The following is a 22,495-nucleotide window of genomic DNA, read 5'->3' as shown; positions in this document are numbered from 1 at the left end:
GGTTATTTTCCTCCCCTCTCCATCAAATGCCTTCCTTTCTCAAAGCACTTAAAAATATTCTGGCATTGGAAAAATACATCAAAACATCAGCTATAACATCCAAAGATTCCGAAGTTTCAATTTATGGTAACTTAAAGCAACTTTAGACACATGATATAAATATAAACGTAAAGACGAAAAGTTAATGTTCTACAGTTATAAAATAATTTTTAAAAAATATTTTTCCCTATGTGACAAATCTATAATTTAAAAATCCCTTTAAACAAAAACTCTCATCTGCCACTATTTTAAAAATAGCCCATAATTGTTCAATTTCTTAATAACTAACAAAAATTTGTAACAAAATGGACAATTCTGCAATCTTTAAAATGCTCACTGTGGCAATTTTCTCACATGTCTAATGTGTGCCCATAATGTCCAAAGATTAATATTTTGTACCACAAAAGATGGATAAGAAAAAGAATAGATTTAAGTATGCAACACATATATTTTAATATTAAACTTTTCCTTTTTGTTAATGAAAAAAGGTAAGCCAAAAGTGTTCTAAATGTTATATAAATACAAATGAATTTCTAATGGGTATTCTTCCAATATACCAAACTTGGTTGTTTTTAAAAAATTAATTCAAAAATAAGTACAACATGCATAGATTATTCCACATCACATGCTTTATTTGGACTTAAACACTTATAATTTCATTCTAAACACTTGGTTGACATACATTTTGATGTGTGTAGTTAGGCTATACAGAATATACAAACCAAAGCTGTATGAATAATACATAGGTTTTTCAAAAGTTATGTTTCATAAAGAATACAGAGAAAGGAAAAATAGCCACACATCCAATATCTCACAACTTCTAAAAATAAAACTACAGAGATGTAAAATATAAACAAATCAAACAACACACAAATTATCATCCTTGAAAGAAAAATTACAGGCCAGCATCAGCCATTCTTTGAAGAACTAAAATTATTAAAGAAAACATAAATTTATTACAAAGCTAACTATGAGTGTACTAATAGGTAAAATAATATGAAGCAGTATAATTCTACATTAACAAGTTTTTCCATAATATAGCATAATCTCTCTAATCAAAATTTCTAATTCTATCTAGTATTAATTTAACTACTGACTTTAATTCATAATTGGTAGCCTAATTTCTGGCATACAATGTGAAATGACATATAATTTCATTAAATCCATAGTACTATAAATAGTCAATTTTACACTATCTCATAAAGGTGTATGCAAAGGCCTTTTTAAAAAACAAGGCTATCTGAATATAATAAAACTAGTTTTCCAAGATTCAAATAACAAAACAGTTATATAAATGCATACATTACACTTCCTAGGTTAAAAACCATCAAAGATCACAAAAATATTACCAAAAAGGAAAGTCATATTTTTTCACCACTCATCTTTGTCCCTGCATCTTCATTAGAGCTGTCTAATTCAGCAAGACCACTTTCTGATTCAGTATGGCTTTCCTGCATTGTCACTGGGTTTCCAGCATCACTGTTCGAAGAAGTAGCTGTGGCAGCTGGTTCAGCAGGGCTTTCTTCTCCCTCTACTTTAGCTAGCCTGTAACTAGTCAGCATCTCCTCCAGAAGTTGTCGGTAGTTTCCCCTATGATTAATTCTCATTTGCCTGAGAGCTTCCACCAATTTTCCCTGTGATCCACTTTCCTCTGCTTCATCGGAGGCCTTTTTTTAAGATTCAAGACCCCAGTGTCAGTAGACAAACTAGGATATCACATGTATTTCATAACACATTACAGCAAAATACTAATTTCTCTACCGAAAAGTAATATAGTCTAAGCATGAGAACATTTTATTAAATATCAATTCTTACCTGTATCAATTAATAAAAACTTCCAATAATAATCTCAAGTCATTTTAAGCAAATTACCATTAACTAGTTTATGTCTTATTTCACAGTCATTTAAAGTTTAATCTGAAATTTACTCAGCTTTTATAATTCAACAGCAACACAAGCATTTCCTAAAACTGACTTACTTAAACAATATTTGGCTATATGATTTAGTACAAAAGAAAATCAATGTTTAAAGCAGTAGGAAAAGGACAGAAAAGCAGGCCATCAGAACAGTTTCTTCATCATTTCTGCTAAATAAGTAGGAAATACAAAACATAAAACTATATAGATTTAAACAGATTTTTGAAAGATTTTAGAGTTTTTACGGATAAAAATTGTATTTACTTTTTGCTCTTATTTTGATAAAAACATCTCTAGATAAAAATAAATTAAGTATTCTCAGTATGAATAATAAACTACTCAATCCTTTCATATTTTAGTGAATTTTGGAAAATCTACAGGTTTCTACAATAGTAACTACTTAATACTGTACAGAACAAGCTCTAATCATCCAAGCTGATCACAGTTAAGCCGACAGACTAAAATAAAGATATCTTTACAGTATGTGCCTCTTGATATGATGCATTATAAAGTACAGTCATGTCCTGTATTCGTGCCAAAAAATGTTTAGAATGAATCTAATAATGCTAATTCCCAGTTTACAGGAAAAAAGGGAATAGAGGATCAAGTTAGAGCACACATGAGAAAACAATCATATGAATTCAGAATGCAGGACGTATTGTAAAAAACTGGCTCAGATTCTTCAAAGTCAGTTTCAAGGGGAAAAAAACAGGTGAGGGGCTTGACTGATTAAAGACTTGTTTAATGTGCTTGATTGATAAACTTGATTAGACTGGGATTCAAAATAACAATTACAATAGTCACTCTAGTGACAACTAGGGAAATTTAAACTTGATATTCAATATTATACAATTTATTTTTTTATACACCTACAGTGTACCCACAAAAATTAAAAATAAATTTAAAAAAATGAATTTTCTTAGGTATAATAATGGTATTATGGTTATACAGAAAAATGTCTTCGTTCTTTTTTTTTTTTTGGGATGGAGTTTCACTCTTGTTGCCCAGGCTGGAGGGCAATGGCATGTTCTCGGCTCACCACAACCTCCACCTCGAGGATTTAAGCGATTCTCCTGCCTCAGCCTCCCGAGTAGCTGGGATTACAGGCATGTGACACCATGCCCGGCTAATTTTGTATTTTTAGTAGAGACAGGGTTTCTCCATGTTGGTCAGGCTGGTCTCGAACTCCCAACCTCAGGTGATCTGCCTGCATCGGCCTCCCAAAGTGCTGGGATTACAGGTGTGAGCTACCGTGCCTGGCTGAAAAATATCTTCATTCTTAAGAGCTGCATGCTTAAATGTTTACAGGTAAAATATGATGTCTGCAATTTTCTCTCAAAGGGTTCAGTCAAAGAAAGAAAAAAAACAGTAGATATAAAAAGAAAAATAAAGCAACTATGGCAAAATGTTAACAGTTGTTGAATCTAGAGAGACAATATACAGCTGTTCCAACATATCATATCCCCTTTTTAAATACATTTGGAAGTTTTCATCTTAAAATATTGGGAAAATAAAATACAAAATAGGTTATTGATACAGTTGATGTGACACAAACTCTTAACCATCTTTAGAGACTATTACATATACTTTTGCAACAAAGATAACACTAATAAAGCCATATAATAAATGGCAATGTTTTATTAGAAAAATGAGAGCAGATGAATGTTATTTTTTAAAAAGTTGCCCTCATTGGCCAGGAGCAGTGACTCGTGTATGCAATTTCACCACTTTGGGAGACGGGTAGGAGGATTCCTTGAGGTCAGGAGTTCTAGGCCAGCCTGGGAAACACAATGAGACCCTATCTCTACAAAAAATGTTTAAAAGGAACACGCCCATAGTCCCAACTACTTGGGGAACTGAGGCGAGAGGTTGAGCTAAGTCGAGGAGGTTGAGGCTTCAGTGACCCATGACCATACCAATGAACACCAGTCTGAACGACAGAGTGAGACCCTCTTAAAAAAAAAAAAAAAAAAAAGGGCTTGTTAGGCTGAGGCGGGTGGATCACGAGGTCAGGAATTCAAGACCAGCCTGGCCAAGATGGTGAAACCCTATCTCTACTAAAAATACAAAAAATTAGCAGCACGCAGTGGCAAGTGCCTGCAATCCCAGCTACTCCGGGAGGCTGAGGCAGGAGAATCGCTTGAACTCGGAGGGCGGAGGTTGCAGTGACCCGAGATCGCACCACTGCACTCCAGCCTGGGTGACAAAGTGAGACTCTATCTCAAAAAAAAAAAAAAAAAGAAAAGAAAAAGAAAAAAAAAGTGCTTGTTTTCCTGCCTCAGACGGGGTGGTGGTGGGGATGGGGCGGGGAAGTATCCTCATGGCAAAAAATGGATGATACTGGGCCGGGCACAGTAGCTCATGCCTGTAATCGCAGCACTTTGGGAGGCTGAGATGGGTGGATCACCTGAGGTCAGCAGTTCGAGATCAGCCTGACCAACATGGTGAAACCCCATCTCTACTAAAAATACAAAAATTAGCCAGGTATGGTGTGTGTGCATCAGTAATCTCAGCTACTCGGGAGGCTGAGGCAGGAGAATTGCTTGAACTCAGGAGGTGGAGGTTGCAGTGAGCCAAGATCACACCCACTGCACTCCAGCCTAGGCGACAGAGCAAGACTCCATCTCCAAAAAAAAAAAAAAAAGATGATACTGTGTATGGCCCATGCTTTTTGGATACATATACGTCTGTGTATCTGTTCATGTTAGCATATGTAAAAATACCTGGAAAGAAAGGAAATACAGCAATATAATGATAATGGGTAGGGAGTTCTAGATACTTTATTTTCTTTGAATTTTCCAATTTTCCACAACAAGCATATTAGCTGTCATTTAATTGCAAAATTTATTATGTGGACTTAAAACATGTTTCCCTAAATAAAGTTTCTCATCCAGGGCTGGTGGCTCATGCCTGTAATCCCAGCACTTTGGGAGGCCAAGGTCAAAGGATCACTTGAGCCCAGGAGTTTGAGACCAGCCTGAGCAACACGGGGAGACCCCGTCTCTACAAAACAAAAATTTAAAAAATTAGGTGTGGCAGCACACACCTCTGGTCCCAGCTACTTGGGAAGCTAAGGTGGGAGGATCACTTGAGCCCAGGAGGTTGAGATTACAGTAAGCCATGTTCATGCCTCTACACTCCAGCCTGGGCAATGGAGGAAGACCCTGTCATTCATTCATTCATTCATTCATAAATAAATAAATAAATAAATAAATAAATAAATAAATAAAAAGTTTCCCATTTTAATCTATTCAGGAAGGGTTGAGATGGAACAACATGTGATAAGTATACTCTAATGATAAACCTTGTCAGTCTTTAAGAGGAAATTTTCTACTTTACGGTATATCACAAAGACCTTTTAATGCAGGGCCTACAACCCTCTTCCCCCGAAAACCCCCAAACCAAAAAAAAAAAAAAAAAAAAAAAAGATAAAAACCTACCATTTTATTAAAAAAAAATTACAGGACATTAAAACAAAATCTGCTTCAAAGATTTACACATAAAGTGATTATCAACCCTTGCTCCACATTGGAATTACCTGTGGAGCTTTTAAAATTGCACACATGCCAAAGTTCCATTTCAAAATACACAGATTCAGTGGATTTGGGTTGTTCTTTTAAAGCCTGACAGGTAATTCTGATATACAGCCAGGGTTGAGAATCACTGATATAGACTAAATGGCATGACTCAATTTGGAGGTGGACTTATTAATAAGGTTGGATGAAAGGTTGTTCCATTTGTCGTATTTGGGTCAATTTTGGCAAGTTCAACAGATAAAGTACCTCTCGCTTTCCAACTGACACTTACATTATTAATCACCTGTATTTCTGTGAATTGCTATAGTAGTGACAGTTGGGGAAGAGAAGTTGCTTTTTAAAAGATATACTAGGTCGGGCGCAGTGGCTCAGGTCTGTAATCCCAGCACTTTGGGAGGCTGAGGCAGGCAGATCATGAGGTCAAGAGATGGACACCATCCTGGCTAACACAGTGAAACCCTGTCTCTACTAAAAATACAAAAAGTTAGCTGGGCGTGGTGGCGGGCACCTGTCGTCCCAGCTACTTAGGAGGCTGAGGCAGGAGAATGGCGTGAACCTGGGAGACGGAGCTTGCAGTGAGCTGAGATGGCACCACTGCACTCCAGCCTGGGCGACAGAGCAAGACTCTCTCTCAAAAAAAAAAAAAAAAAGACATACTAAAACCAAACCATAGCCAGGCACGGTGGCTCATGCCTGTAATCCCAGTACTTTTGGAGGCCGAGGTAGGTGGATCACTTTAGTTCAGGAGTTTGAGACTAGCCTGATCAACATGGTGAAACCCATCTCAACTAAAAATAGAAAAATTAGCCAGGCGTGGTGGTGCATGCCTGTAGTCCCAGCTACTTGGGAGGGTGAGGCAGGAGAATCGCTTGAACCTGGAAGGCAGAGGTTACAGTGAGCCGAGATTGCACCACTGCATTACAGCCTCGGTGACAGGGTGAGACTCCGTCTCAAAAAATGAAAAATAAAAAAATAAAAAGCAAAAGAAAACCAAACCAATAAATCAAGTAGACACGGATTTGCAATGGCTGACATTACAGAATCACTAAATTGAGAAGAACTTTAGCTAATGACCACACTTAAAAGTCATTTTATCTTATGGCAAATTACATTTTCTCATCACTCTGGATAGACAATAGAGGACTGAAACCTCTTCCGCAGCCATTATATTTGATTTTTCCAAACACTGTTATGTAACTCTCTCATGGGCTTTCATTAATATTAGAAGAGAAACCTATTATCTAGGTTCCTGCACTTTCTTTATCTGAACTCGTACAGTTGATATAGCACACCTATTTTTACACATCTATTATAGCAATTAACTCTACCTTGCAACGGTTCACAAGACTCTCCACTTAGACTGCAAACTCTTTTAGAGTAAAGACAATTTCATATTCCATTCTATGTCCTCCTACCATCTAAGGAAGGAAAAATAATATTTGTGCTAAGAACTTTATATACATAATCTTACTGAATCCTCACAGGTACCCTACAAAGTAAGGATTCCAGTTATCATTTTTATAAGTGATGAAACTAAAGCTCAGAGAGATTTAAGTTATTTGTCACGGTGACAATCTTAGTAAATGGCAGGGCTCTGATTTGTGCACAGGTATAATTAACATCAATGTCTATCTTTGCGCTCTGTTGAATACATTATGGCGAGTGACCTTTTTTGCATAGGAAGTACCTCATACAGGTAAGACTCTTACTAAAGAAATATTGGTGAAATTATTATAGAACACCACAGGTTATTTCATATTGAAGTTTATATTTCCTTAATATAGTAAAATTAATAAAACTATAGAACACTAGTTATGTTGATTAAACTATCATATCAGCTGGGATGTTTACAATTATTCTGTAAAGTAAATTGAAGGCAATTACTGAGATGAGAATTCAGGACATCTCCCATCCACCCTAGTTTTTAAGCTTTTACTATCAGCTAGACTAACATAGCTTAAAAGTCGAATCTCTCATGATGAAAATACTAACTTACACCAAATAAGACATAGAAATTAGATAAATCAAGCAGAGAGTAGTAATAGGAGGGGGAAGGGAACTAAGCACATTTTAAAAAATAAAATTTAACCAGCTAATATTTATTTGCAGCAATATTTATCTTTTGAAACACAGCTCTCATAACCAAAATTCTTTTTTTTTTTTTTTTTTTTGGAGACGGAGTCTTGCTCTGTCACCCAGGCTGGAGTGCAGTGGCACGATTTCAGCTCACTGAAAGCTCTGCCTCCCGGGTTCACGCCATTCTCCTGCCTCAGCCTCCCGAGTAGCTGGGACTACAGGCGCCCGCCACCACGCCCGGCTAATTTTTTGTATTTTTAGTAGAGGCAGGGTATCACCATGTTAGCCAGGATGGTCTCAATCTCCTGACCTTGTGATCCGCCCACCTCGGCCTCCCAAAGTGTTGGGATTACAGGCGTGAGCCACTGTGCCCGGCCCATAACCAAAATTCTTAAAATGACTACTTATAACAGTAGAGAAAAAGTAAACACTAGTAAAAATGTTTCTTATGAAGTCCTACGTGCTGCTTGTCAGACAAAAAAATTTTTAAACTAAAAATTCTCCAGTATGACAAAATGTGATACAATTGATGACTAATGAAGACTCTAATAAATTACATGTTACTTGAAGAATCATGTCAAATTTAATGAATAATTTTAGACAGTGTCATTTGAATGGTCAAGACCACATAGCAAAGGTAAGTGTTATGTCAATCATACCTTAAAAACATAGTGACTAATGTTAGTGCATTTTCTCTCTCTCTCTCTTTTTTTTTTTTTTTTTTTTTTTTTTTTTTAGACAGAGTCCCACTCTGTTGCCCAGGCTGGAGTGCAGTGGTGCAATCTTGGCTCACCGCAAGCTCCACCTCCCAGGTTCACACCATTCTCCTGCCCCAACCTCCCGAGTAGCTGAGACTACAGGCGCCCACCACCACGCCTGGCTAATTTTGTTTTTTTTGTATTTTTAGTAGAGACGGGGTTTCACCATGTTAGCCAGGATGGTCTTGATCTCCTGACCTCGTGATCCTCCTGCCTCGCCCTCCCAAAGTGCTGGCATTACAGGCATGAGCCACCGCGCCCGGCCTGCATTTTCAAACAGTATAGGTCTTCTCCATAGCAATGCTTTGACAAGTGAATAAAAAGTAAATATGAAAAAACTAATATTCACATAGTTCTAAAAACTGTGATATAAAAATGTAAAAGCAGCTATGGGTATTGCATTTATCCGTTTAAAGTAAAACAGAAAAATGCATGCAAAATTTAATAATCTGAAAACAATACAGAGATTCTTTTGGGCTCAAAAAGAGACTAATCTATCCTGTTTTTCCTTCCCTTCTCTAAGATCAAAATGCCTTAAACCGTTTTTGGATTAAGATAAATATGTGTATTTAAGTGAAAAATAACTGACAAGGAATTGGGCTTAACTCATTCCTTTCAACAACTTTATAAAATATTTACCATTAAAAACAGATTATCTTGTGGTTGGATGCAGTGGCTCACGTCTGTAATCCCAGAACTTTGGGAGGCTGAGGTAGGAAGATAACTTGAGCCCAGGAGTTCAAGACTAGCCCTGGCAATGAAGCGAGACCCTATCCCTACAAAAAATACAAAAAATTAGCCGAGTGTGGTGCTGTGTGCCTGTAATCCCAGCTACTCAGGAGGCTGAGCTGGGAGGATCGCTTGAGCCTGGGAGGTTGAGGCTACAGAGAGCCATGATGGTGCCATAGCACTCCAGCCTGGGACAAAGAATGAGACCCTGTCTCAATCAATAAAATAGAGTATCTTAAGACTGATAAACATGATATTTACAAAAGAATGGGAAATGATTTTTCCTGCATGGTAGACACAGGTGGGGTACAGACATACATAATCTCTACCTTAAAGAGGCCACATGGAATAATGTAAAGAGAATAGGAGTCAGACTAATTCAAATTCTGGCTGCATGATTTATTTAGCTTTGTGACCTGTGCAAACTACCTCATCTCTGTAAGTCTCATGTGTAAAAGAAGGGTGCTGAGAAGATTACCTATGACTCTGTGTGTGTATAAATAAGGGGCCTGGCACAAGTAGGAGCTGGGTAAATACAGGTCACCCCCCTGCTCAACTTTACCCTTGGAAAATTACCAACTTGTGCAACTACTTGATCAGTGGCATACTAATTCAAAAGCATTATGAGTCTTTTTCAAGGGAAGAACTTTTTGCATGAAAGTATAAAACTCTATAAATACAGACTTTCATACCAATTAGTAACCTCAAATTAATTTTTAAATATATGACTTAAGGACAGCCTTAAGAAAATTACTAGAAATGAATAAATACAAATATTTCCTATTCAAAAAATATTTACTGAGCTTTCACCGTATGCCAGGATTGTGCTTGGACTATAGACACAAATGAATCAGATCAAGTCCCAGATCTCACAGAATTTATATTCTAATTATAAAACACAAACTAGCATTTTAGAAAAAGGGAAGGAGTATGATCCCAGAGCCCTGTCTAATATAAAGACAACTTACAGCAAAATGTAGTTTTGCTTTTTCTGGAAATTTTCCAAAAGATTTCTGGGGATTCGTGAATCCCTAGACTAAGAATCCCTGGCTAAACCCTTTGTTACAAATTTGTATTTTAAAAGTTGGGAAAATATCAATATTGTTTGTGGTAAGAAGATGGAACACATTCTAAAAAGTTAGTTTAGTATGGAACACATACTAAAAAACAAATTTAGTAAAGAACTTAAGAAGTTTCCCCTAAATAGTAACCTTTCTGAATATATATTAAAATTACTTAATTTATGACTTATACTCAACTCTACTTTCTGAAAAATATTTATTTAAAAGATGTCTTAATTATAAGAAAAATGAATGAATCCCTATTTCTAGTGGTACTACTTATAATCATTTACAACAGAACAATTCTCTCCGACATAAAGCAGACATTCAGGAGTCTAAAGAAACCCTCTGATTTAACTCTGGCTAGAATTCTTTGTTTAAATATCTAAACAAAAATAATTTTTGTTATTTAAAAAAACTTAATTTTTATAATACCTTCCAACTTTCTCCTCTTCTGTAATTCTAGCATACTTTCATCTTTCCCACCCCGCAAGTTAACATCCAGCTCCCGGCGACATCATCCACACTGTTAAGAAGCATTTATGGAGCACCTTTGCGGCTAGCTTTTTGCTACAGTGGGTCAAGTTAAGAGCTCAGAATTTAATCACGTCTGTATTTTCTTCATTCTCTCTCCTTCTGCGGTATTTTTCAGCACATTTCTGCTACTTGCAATTATAGTTCAACATTTTTCTAAGTTAGTGATTATTGTGAAAGGCATATAATATTTCCCCATTTAAAATTCTAGGCTGTAAAGTCAGTTTTCACAGTAAACAAGGAAAGTTCCTTTAATCCACATATCTATGTAATGATAATAAGTCTACAGTTACCATTTGGTCTCTGTAATTATTTCACAACTACCTGACTGCCTGCATCTCTTTAATCTAATATGGTAAATGTTTCTAACAGATTAAAATACCACAGATATTTTTTTGAATCTATCATTCTTATGCTCTAAACATAAGGTGGTCCATTACCCTAAAATGATGTTCAAAAGGCTGGTCTCTTAGCAAGTACCTCTGCAACCTAAATTCTTATTTTTCACCACAACAGTTCTCTGCTTTAGCCAAAAAAGATGTCCTTTCTTTTGAAGATATCTTATACTTTGTCCTTGCCTCTCTAGTCCACTTGAAAGGTCATCATCCTCATGTCATTTCTACCATTCAAATCATTCTTCAAATACTATCTTTTCTCTAAGAAGCTGACTTTCCCCCTGCTTAAGCAGCTGAACTTTTACAGCAATCACTGTCCAAGTCACATGGCAATGGTCACATTCTGGATTTTGTCATTTATTTGTTACCAAGCTATACGAAATATTTTGATCATTTAAGGTGTGTTTATAACTACAGTGTAAGCTGCACTAGACACACAGGTGGGGTCACGTCTTACGTTTTCTAGTCTTCTCCCTCTGTGAATCCACTATACAACACACTGTCAGTGTTTGATCTGCTGATGTTGATAGAACATTTATGTATAAAGGTAATTAAGTACATATATCCCATTTCTATAGCCAAATAATAATCTATTTAAGGTAAGGTTTATATATTGAGCATTTCCCCCCAGTTTCATAGTTCCGTTGCCTATTTATTCCCTGTTTATGTAGCTACTATGTGTAATCATTTTTTCTTTTTAAAAAATTTAAAAGTTATCCTTGGTATATGTTAAACAGAAAACCTTGTTTGGAGTAAAAATAGACTATGAAGGACCCCAAAATCCAGCAAGGTATATATATATATATATATGTATTTTTAAAGATTACACATGAGGGTTGACACTTTGAAACACCTGAGGAAATGGGAGTACTTCTATGGCTAATAATGAATCAATAACTGTCTTCTGAGGGCTTATTTCCTCTAATCAAGGTAGTGGATGCCCTGAAGAATCTATAATCTAGCTGAAGAGTTAAGATTCTCTTCTCTCAACCTTCCAAATTACCACCATCCTTTTAGTCATATGTCAACATCCTATACTCATTTCTTTGAGGGTTCTCTGATGGATCACATAAAATATTTGGATTTTTAAATTAATTTTCTCAGCTTTGGGTCAATTTTTTTTTTTTTTTGAGACGGAGTTTCGCTCTTGTTGCCCAGGGTGGAGTGCAATGGCATGATCTCGGCTCACCACAACCTCCGCCTCCCGGGTTCAAGCGATTCTCCTGCCTCAGCCTCCCGAGTAGCTGGGATTACAGACATGCGCCACCATGCCCAGTTAATATCGTATGTTTAGTAGAGACGGGGTTTCTCCATGTTGGTCAGGCTGGTCTCGAACTCCCAACCTCAGGTGATCCGCCCGCCTCGGCCTCCCAAACTGCTGGGATTACAGGCATGAGCCACCGTGCCCGGCCTTGGGTACAATTCTTAATACTCTGAGGAACCTGCCACAAAAAAAGACTCAGAATCACTGCTCTAGACCAAGATATAAATTATAATTAGCAATATATAGCATCACTTTTATATGACTCACTAAAATTATATTAATTATTAAATTTTCCTTTTTGCCAGGATAACTTTTACTGTTAAGGAAAAGAAATCATATTATATTGCTGTGCAACAATGAATCCTAGCAAATAATGCAATTGAGATGACATATGATTTCTAGCCAATGGATACTCTCTCTCTCAATCTGCCAAGAGGAGCTGGAGACTGGAGGTGGACTCTTCCTCCCAATCAGTTTCATTTCTGTTTGGTTCCCTTAAAGCTTTGAAGCATATATATTAAAAATTAAATAATTTATTTTTAGACATAAAAACTTGAAAACCCAAGAGAAAAATACTTATTTGAACTAACTTGGATTTAAAAAAAAAAAAAGGACACTTCTGTCTCCTGGTAATAGTACTAAAACAAAACAAAACAATATAGAGGGGCAGCTGGCAGCTCACTGACATTTCGAAGAAAAGCAAAATAAAAGGTAAGGGCATAGAGTCTTGCTCTGATGAAGTACAGCAAGGTACAACAGAAATGGTTATCTCAGCTCAACACTCATGTACCCATAATACAACAATAATATTAGAAAAAAACTATCCTCGGGTATTCCAAGTGGGCATACAGGGGTACTGAAAGGTCTAGTTATTAAAATAACAACTCACTCACTATCACTAACTTCTGGTGATGGCAGCAGCCTGCTGGAGGAGAAATTGAGATATTTAAAAGAGCATTCTTGCCTCAAAATTAAGGTTTAAAGGAGAAGAAGGAAAAGCAGACATATAGAGAAGAAATAAAGACAGCCCAAACAAAAAAGGTCATTTGATGCCCAGAAAGTGACAACAAAACTATCTACAAAACAAAATTTTATCTCTACCTTCATTTCAATACATTTTCTTAAACTTTAACTGACACTTTAAAATGAAAAGCAGTAGTAATTTACTACAGACTATAATTTATTATAGACTTCGTTAATGTGAATGTATTCATATTTAGTATTTATATTGTGAAATTACTTCAAATGCTTATGAAATAAAATAAAACTTACCCCATCACTTTCTCTATGTGGATTCAGTCTACTATAAACAGCTTCAATAACATTACGCCTAAAAAAAAAAAACATGCTTTAGTTTTATTAAATTACACAGAATTTTAAGCTTGTGAATATCTCAATATTTCATCCTGACCACACTAAAAAAGTAACTGGTACACTCTATACTTGTCAAGAACATACCTTCTACACTTTACTCTCAGAATCTGATTTTGCACAATCCATTTGTACTCCTTAGCAAGGAAAGAAGGACCTTCATACTCAAAGAGTATGATAGATAATTCCTTTTAAAAAATCGTTTTTGGTTGAAGTTTTAAGAGTTCTTCTCTAGTATAAGAAACACTAACCCATTTCACCTCTAGATAATTGATGTACTTCTGATTTAAGTTTTTTTACCCCAAATTATTTAATTACTAATTATGAACGAACTCAAAATTAGCTTTTTGTTCTACTTACTTGCCAGCAAGACCTCCCCCAGGAGGCAAATTTGGGATATTTTCTGCAGACAAGATGCGCATGACATGGGCAAGATCAGGCATTCCTTCCTCGCCAGACTTCTCCATAATCTCTGTAGGTTTTTTAAAAAAAGTTCCTAAATTAATGTGATAAGCCAGTACTCACCAAGAAGTGAAACAAGAGATACTATTTGGTAGTACCTATTTTAAAATATATTAAAAAAAATTACCATCAACACACAAAAAATTTTTAAGAAGTAATACAAAAAGCTACTTATTGACTGAAACATTGCTATGCAGGGGGAAAAAAGAAAAAACAGTTATTTGCATATGTATGTTCATTCCAGCATTATTCATAAAAAGCAAAAACTGGAACAAACTAAATGTTCACCAACAAGAGGACAGTTAAAAACTTTGGTGTAGCCATTGAGTGAAATGGTTTATAATCACTAAAAATTACGAAATAGGTGTCTTGATGAATACAGTAACAGCTATATGGAAAAATACTTCTGATCTAATATTAAGTAAAAACAATATAAAAGTTATGAATGCCATTACTAAAGGATAATAAAAGTTTAGCTAGATAAGAATTATAAGAAAAAGGGGAGAAATTAAAAATCATTTTTACAAGTTGATACTTACCTGAAATAGTTACATTCTACAGCTTTTTTTTTTTTTTTGAGACGGAGTTTCACTCTTGTTGCCCAGGCTGGAGTGCAATGGCGTGATCTTGGCTCACTGCAACCTCTGCCTCCTGGGTTCAAGCAATTCTCCTGCCTCAGCCTCCCGAGTAGCTGGGATTACAGGCATGTGCTACCATGCCTGGCTAATTTTGTATTTTTAGTAGAGATGGGGTTTCTCCATGTTGGTCAGGCTGATCTCAAACTCCCAACCTCAGGTGATCCACCCACCTCGGCCTCCCAAAGTGCTGGGATTACAGGCATGAGCCACCACACCCAGCCCAGGCCTTACTTTCAAAACAACTGTTTACCATGCCTCACAAGACCCTTACGTTGACTTCCACTACTCTTTCAACTCTGCCCGCCTCCCTCATCTCCAAAGGATCCATTCAAAGACTTCTACTTCTAGATCTTCACATACTCTTTTCGTTGGTTTGGGAACACTTTTCACTCTAATCCAACCCCTCTGTATGGTGAATGTCCCTTTTTTTTTTTTTGAGACACTGGAGTGCAGTGGCACTATCTCAGCTCACTGCAACCTCTGACTCCCTGGTTCAAGCGATTCTCCTGCCTCAGCCTCCCAAGTAGCTGGGATTACAGGCATGTGCCACCACACCCAGCTAATTTTTGTATTTTAGTAGAGATGGGGTTTCACCATGTTGGCCAGGCTGGTCTTGAATTCCTGACCTCGTGATCCACCCACCTCAGCCTCTCAAAATGCTGGGATTAGAGGCCTGAGCCACCACGCCCAGCTATGAATGCCTATTTTCATCCTTGAGGTTTCAATTTTATATGTCACATTCTCAAATCCTTCTCTGACCTAAGTCTGAGTAGGTACACTGCAATACACTCCCATATGCATGACATGTACTGTATACCATAATGCTATATACTCCCACATACACGATGTTTATTGGGTCATAGACTGCAAGCTTCATGAAAGCAGGACTGTAAGTTTTCTACCTTAAATCTGTGTCTTATAGTATAAGGCTTCTCAACATCAACAACACCGACATTTTACACCAGACAATTTTTTTGTTGTGGGGGCTGTCCTGTGTGCTGTGGAATATTAAGCAGCATCCCTGGCCTCCATTCACTAGATGCCAGTGGCACCCCCTCAGCTATGACACCAAAAATGTCACCAGACATTTTTACACCCCTCTACTCTAGTCCAATTTACCACTACCATGCATTAATGCATAATTTCTAATCGGTATTTTGGCTTCTCTTGTCCCTTTTATACAATCTCTTCTCCATACAGCAACTAAGAGAGATCCTTTGGAAAAAAGAACAAATCACTCTTGTACTCAAAATCTTCCAATGAATTCCCACAAGTCAAAGTCCAAAGTCCTCACATGATATGCCTCCTACAAACCTCTTAATTTTCCTCTAGTTTTCTACTGGCTTATTCTAACCCAGCTGCACTCACTAAGAACATTCCCTCCTAGTCTTTGCTGTTGTCATTGCCTGGAATGTTCTTCCCTCAGATATTCTCTCTCCAAGCACGGCTGCTCAAACATCCTTCCTCACAGAGACATTTCTAACCAATATTCCTTGTTGCTCTCTACTTACTCTATTTTATTTCTCTATTAAAAAAAAATAGGTTTTTACTAGAATACAAATTCTATGAGATTTCTTTTTCTGCTATATCCTCAGTGACACATGTTCAATAAACACTGAGTAAACCTGTATGTAGAAAGCAATCATTAAATATATAATTCATCAATTCAGGTGAACTACTATTCCCTGTTTATTTTAATATTATTCCTTTCCCACCTGACCAGTCATCATTAAAAGCATACACACAGATTTACCAAGTACACCAGAATGTATTTACCACAAAATTTAATGTCATATTACATGATTTAAAACCCCAGAAGAAACATAATGCTCCTGAAGAACACTGCTTTACAAATAAAAAGTTACTTTTTTTTTTTTCTTAAAGACATGTTCTTACTCTGTGGCCCAGGCTGGAGTGCAGTGGTGCCATCATAGCTCACTGTAACACCAAACTCCTGGACTCAAGTGATCCTCCTGCTTCAGTCTTCAAGTAGCTGGAACTACAGGTGTGCACCACCATGCTCAGCTAATCTTTAAAACTTTTTTGTAGCTCTATGATGCCGAGGCTGGTCTTGAACTCCTAGTCTCAAGCAATCCTTCTGCCTCGGCATCCCAAGAATTATAGGTGTAAGCTACTGTGAAGTTACATTTTAAGTACCAACTTAAATTGATTTGTAGTGGCTGCCTAGCTAACAATTTTGTCTCCTGATTAATAATAACTATTTGCTACAGGCCCTAGAGATCATATTACATATTTGTTATCTCTCCTATATAATATATACTTTAGAAAGTTACTAACTATGCAGAAGAAAATTAATATTAAATTATTAACTCATGTTAAACTGAATTGACCACACCTTTAAGAAATTAAAATGTGGCTATTACAGAAGTTAAGAGTTCATATAAAGTTACAGTTTGCTGAGGACTTACGTGCTAGGCACCATAATAGGTGCTTAACAAACATAATTCTCATTTATTTTGACAAAAACTCTTTGCTTGGACCAAACCTTCAGCAAGACTCTTGAGTTCTTTCTGACTAGGAGAACTTTAGGCTCCCTCTCTGTCCTTGTAGAAACCAGGCTGAATGAGAATCCTGCTCAGTCAGTTTACTGAAAACCCCCACACACTTGATATAGGACCACTCTGGATATTTTAGCCTGGCCTGCCATGCTATCAAGTCAGTTTAGCCAGAAACCCCTTATGTTGATGCTTCCTCTTAGTAATAATTTTCCATCCACTGACACTCCCTTCAAGCACTCAGCTCCTTAGTTATAAATTCCACTTATCTTTATGGGACCCCAAGTTGAGTTTAATTTCTTTCTGCCACTGCAAGATTCTATCATAGTGGTCCCTATATCTACTGCCATGCCCCCCCCACCCCCGAAAAAATATCTGCCTTACCATCTTTAACAAGTGTCATCAATAAGCTTTTTTTGTAACAATTTATTTAAGAAAAAAAAAAACTCTATGGGGTCGGGCGCAGTGGCTCACGCCTGTAATCCCAGCACTTTGGGAGGCCGAGGCGGGCAGATCACGAGGTCACGAGATTGAGCTAATACAGTGAAACCCCATCTCTACTAAAAATACAAAAAATTAGCCAGGCATGGTGGCGGGCATCTGTAGTCCCAGCTACTTCGGAGGCTGAGGCAGAAGAATGGTGTGAACCCGGGCAGCTAAGCTTGCAGTGAGCCGAGATCGCGCCACTGCATTCCAGCCTGGGTGACAGTGCGAGACTCTGTCTCAAAAAACAAAAAACTCTATGGTTGGTGTTTTTATCTTTAGTTTCCAATAAAGAAACTGGTGCCTTGAGGGGTTAAGCAAGTTGGATAAGTTCACATAACAGCCAGCTGACCAAACTAGAGAGCTCTTCCTAAAATAAAAACTACCCAGTTTCTTTATGAATGAGGAAGAAGGAAACTAAGAGAATTCCTCCCACCTTCTGATAAACTATAGTCAGCAATCTGCAACCCCAATATACTACAATTTATCATTAAATATTAACTCCTATAAAAACAGCTCCTCTTAATGATATTATCAATAGGAATATGACCGCATCTGACATAATCTTCAATGTGTTCTTACATGTTTCTCACGTTTTCATCACCCTCAAAGCAGGACTCATTGAAACTCAAAAGCATTGAGACCTAAAAACAAGATTAATTTAGGGCTGAGGAAATTGTAGGTGCAAAAAAAACTTTAAGCACATTGTTTAGGGTGCATAGCTAGATAGTTGTAGAGACAGAAAAGATAAATCCCCATTCTCCAAATTTGCAAAAGACTCTCTTCTTGGTTTTATACTTTTAATTGTAATTACATATTAGAAATCACACATCTTCACACTTCAAAACTCTCACCAATTACTGTGGCCTACTATATACAAAATGACCAAATTCAACAAAGCTATTATACTATATACAAAATGGCCAAATTCAACGAACTATTATACCATCATCGTAAGTTATATCATTCAAATGTATTTTCTCCAAAAAAAAAAAAAAGAATCAAAACATAAAAGTGTTAGGAGAAAATACAGGTAACTATGTAACCTTGAGTGGAAGAGCTTGGTATGATATCAAAGTCCTCCCACAAAGAAAAGAAAAAAGATTGACAATCTAACTTTATAAAAAGTAATTTCATATCTTAAAAACAGCATATATAAAACCAAAAGGTTATATTAAGATTATGATACTTAGCTTCTCAGGGTTGAAAGTGGAAAAGAAAAAAAAAAAAAAAAAGGGCCTTAAGACTGAAAAATTTTCATTTTCTCAGGGTAACCACTAAATTTTTTCCTTTTTACTAAATGGAATTTTTTTTTTTTTTTTTTTTGGAAACGGAGTCTTGCTCTGTCGCCCAGCCTGGAGTGCAGTGGCAGGATCTTGGCTCACTGCAAGCTCCACCTCCCAGGTTCACACCATTCTCCTGCCTCAGCCTCCTGAGTAGCTGGGACTACAGGCGCCCACCACCACGCCCAGCTAATTTCTTTTTGTATTTTTAGTAGTTACAGGTTTTCACCGTGTTAGCCAGGATGGTCTCAATCTCCAGACCTCGTGATCTGCCCGCCTCGGTCTCCCAAAGTGCTGGGATTACAGGCGTGAGCCACCATGACTGGCCTACTAAACGGAATTTTTTAAAGAATGTGTAACTAATAAGCAAATCCTAGGATGAACTGGAATACATCTAAAAGAAGGCAAGAATGGAGGATAAAAAAAAATAGATGAAACACGAAAGACGGCAGATTTAAACTCAAACATATCAGCAATTATGTTAAAGATAAACAGACTAGCTTCTCCCTTCTCATGTTCCTGAATAATTTTGTCCAACACGATTGGATTTGCTTAGCTAAGCAAAACAAATCTTTCAGGGAGTGGAGGGGGAAATAGTGGCCACAAATTGATCCAGAATGGGATATTCATGCCTAACCACAGTAAGCATAGCTTTAGGATGGCTATAGGGTGAACTGGGATGGGCAATTTGGAGTGAGGAAGGCATATGCATGAGAGTTAGCCGTGACAGATTTGTTGGGTTGACAGTAGAGGACAGGTTTCTTTCTGTAGAAGAGAGTTATAAATATGAAAAGGGAGAAAACTATAATAAATCCTGTAGTACTGTATAGCTGCAGGCAGGACAAAAAGACGCTACAACAAGTTTTAAGAGGCTCTCATTGCCTGAAACAGTTGATAATACAATGAATAGAACAGGAATCCGTGAGTCTGTGCTCATATAAACAAACAGGCAGAAAAGAACATTTTTCCTTGCAGTAAAATGCTAATACATATAAAAAGAATGACTAAACCAGGCGCGGTGATTCACGCCTGTAATCCCAGCACTTTGGGAGGCCAAGGCGGGCGGATCACCTGAGGTCAGAAAGTTCGAGATCAGCCTGACCAACATGGAGAAACCCCCTCTCTACTAAACATACAAAATTGGCCGGGTGTGGTGGCACATGCCTGTAATCCCAGCTACTCAGAAGGGTGAGGCAGGAGAATCACTTGAACCCCGGAGGCAGAGACTGCGGTAAGCCAAGATCATGCCATTGCACTCCAGCCTGGGCAACAACAGCGAAACTCCATCATAAAAAAAAAAAAAAAAAAAAAAAAGACAGAATCAGAAAATCACCAGTTGGCTATCATTCTTCAGGCAAAAATCGCAAATGGATGCTAAAACTATCTGCTAAAATCTTAATGAGCAATAGGTTATTAACAATCTCAAAGTGCCTCCCCATAGAATACTTATGAATAAGTATAACATATTTATTAAATACTTATTAGGTATAACATAATTATTAATTAAGTAACCTGAAAGACAACAACCCAAGCAAGTCACAAAAGATGTTAACATTATAAATCAACATCACATGCCTCCCTGATTGTGATGCACTGAGAAGAATCTAGAATCACTTCCACAGTATTCCTGCCAATGTATAACCTAAATCTTATCAAGAGGAAACATCAGCCAACCCAAGCTGCACATTCCACAAACCTGTACTCTTGAAAAATGTCAAGGTCAACAGAAATAAAAAAGACTATGGAACTTTTTCCATTGAGGGAGACTAAAGAGGCATGACAGCTAAATGCAGCACACATGCTCTAGACTGCATCCTGGACCTACATATGACATTACTGGGATAATTAGGGAAATTTAAATGGGATCTGTGGATTACAAAGTAATATTGTATCAACGTTAATTTCTTAATTTTTTTTTCCCGAGATGGAGTCTTGCTCTGTCATCCAGGCTAGAGTACAGTGGCATGATCTCGGCTCACTGCAATCTCCACCTTCCAGGTTCAAGCAGTTCTCCCGCCTCAGCCTCCGGAGTAGCTGGGATTACAGGCACCTGCCACCACGCCCGACTAATTTTTGTATTTTTAGTACAGATGGGATTTCACCATGTTGGCCAGGCTGGTCTCCAACTCTTGACCTCGTGAGCCGTGCACCTCAGCCTCCCAAAGTGCTGGGATTATAGGTGTGAGCCACCGTGCTGGGTCAATTTCCTAATTTTTATGGATATACTACAGTTATGTAGTGTCATGTAATCTTCGTTTTATTAAGTAGTACTGATATATCATATTTGCAACTTTCAATTGATTTGGCTCAGGAAAAAGGTTAGTAATATGGGGGGCAGGGGAATAAGAGGAGAGAGAGGTGGAGAGGGAAGGAAGGAAGGAGGGAGACAGAAAATGAGAATGTTACAGAAAGTATATATAGAGATAAGCCAAACGTGGTATTACATAAACAAATAAGGAATCTAGGTAAAGGACACTACATGTACATGGGAGATCCTGTAATACTTCTGCAACTTTTCTGTATGTTTAAAATTATTAGGCTGGCTGTGCTGGCTCATGCCTGTAATCCCAGCACTTTGGTAGGCCAATGTGGGAGGACTGCTTGAGTCCAGGAGTTTGAGACCACCCTGGGCAACACAGTGAGACCTCATCTTTACAAAAAATAAAGAAAACTAGCCAGCTGTGGTGGCACGTGCCTGTAGTTCCAGCTACTTGGGAGAGGCTGAGGTGAGAGGATCACTTGAGCCCAGGGAGTTGAGGCTGTAGTGAGCCGAGATCATGCCACTGTACTCCAGCCTAGGCAACAGAGCAAGACCCTATCTCAAAAAAAAAAAAAAAAAAATTTATTGCCAAATGAAGTTTAAAAAAATATGTAAAATAATCTTTTGAAACACTAATGTTAACTCTATCAATAAAAGGGAAAGGATACCGTAATGAATTCCAATGATAATTAACCCGAAAAGGGAGAATTAGTATTAGCGGAATTAAGAGTACTTGTTTTCATGACACTGTTAGGGGAAATTTCACTGGATTCTCCACTTACTACTAGGAATGTACGCAGGGAAAGAAAAAGAAAGAAAAAATAAACCAGCAAGCTCTAACGAACTACCTTCAAATTATGTTTCTCTTTGGTGGTGAAACAGACATATTTGTCTTCTCCCTGTCAATCAATCCCCAGAAATTGGTCCAAGACAGTAAATTTTAGACAGATAGATGTGTTTTTTCAAGGACTTGTTTTGAAATACTTGTTTGTCCTATGGAATTTTTTTTTTTTTTTTTTGGAGACGGAGTCTCACTCTGTTGCCCAGGCTGGAGTGCAGTGGTGCAATCTCGGCTCACTGCAACCTCCACCTCCCAGATTCAAGCAATGCTCCTGCCTCAGCCTCCCGAGTAGCTGGGACTACAGGTGTGTGCCACCATGCCCGGCTAATTTT

At 37.4% G+C, this 22,495-nt stretch overlaps 1 protein-coding gene across 8 annotated transcripts in view; it reads right to left on the bottom strand.

Moving 5' to 3' along the window:
* Positions 1–22,495, bottom strand: part of PPM1B (protein phosphatase, Mg2+/Mn2+ dependent 1B) — a 78,054-nt gene that overhangs the window by 14,810 nt on the left and 40,749 nt on the right. For 3 of the 8 annotated variants that reach the window (NM_002706.6, NM_177969.4, XM_047444835.1), the window contains 3 exons: positions 14,041–14,152; positions 13,582–13,639; positions 647–1,706 (listed from right to left, as the gene is read on the bottom strand). In NM_002706.6, coding sequence (NP_002697.1) covers positions 1,401–1,706; positions 13,582–13,639; positions 14,041–14,152 — 476 coding nt within the window. In that variant the 3' untranslated portion in view covers positions 647–1,400. Of the gene's footprint in view, positions 1–646; positions 2,127–13,581; positions 13,640–14,040; positions 14,153–18,361; positions 18,424–22,495 lie in introns of those variants that run through there. The other 5 variants (XM_011532936.4, NM_177968.4, XM_047444836.1 and 2 more) reach the window with 3 other exon arrangements.

Source organism: Homo sapiens, chromosome 2, assembly GCF_000001405.40.
Source record: "Homo sapiens chromosome 2, GRCh38.p14 Primary Assembly".
NCBI classification, from domain to species: Eukaryota; Metazoa; Chordata; class Mammalia; order Primates; family Hominidae; genus Homo; species Homo sapiens.
The sequence above is the reverse complement of the archived record's forward strand: the minus strand, read 5'-3'. Positions and strand labels throughout refer to the sequence as shown.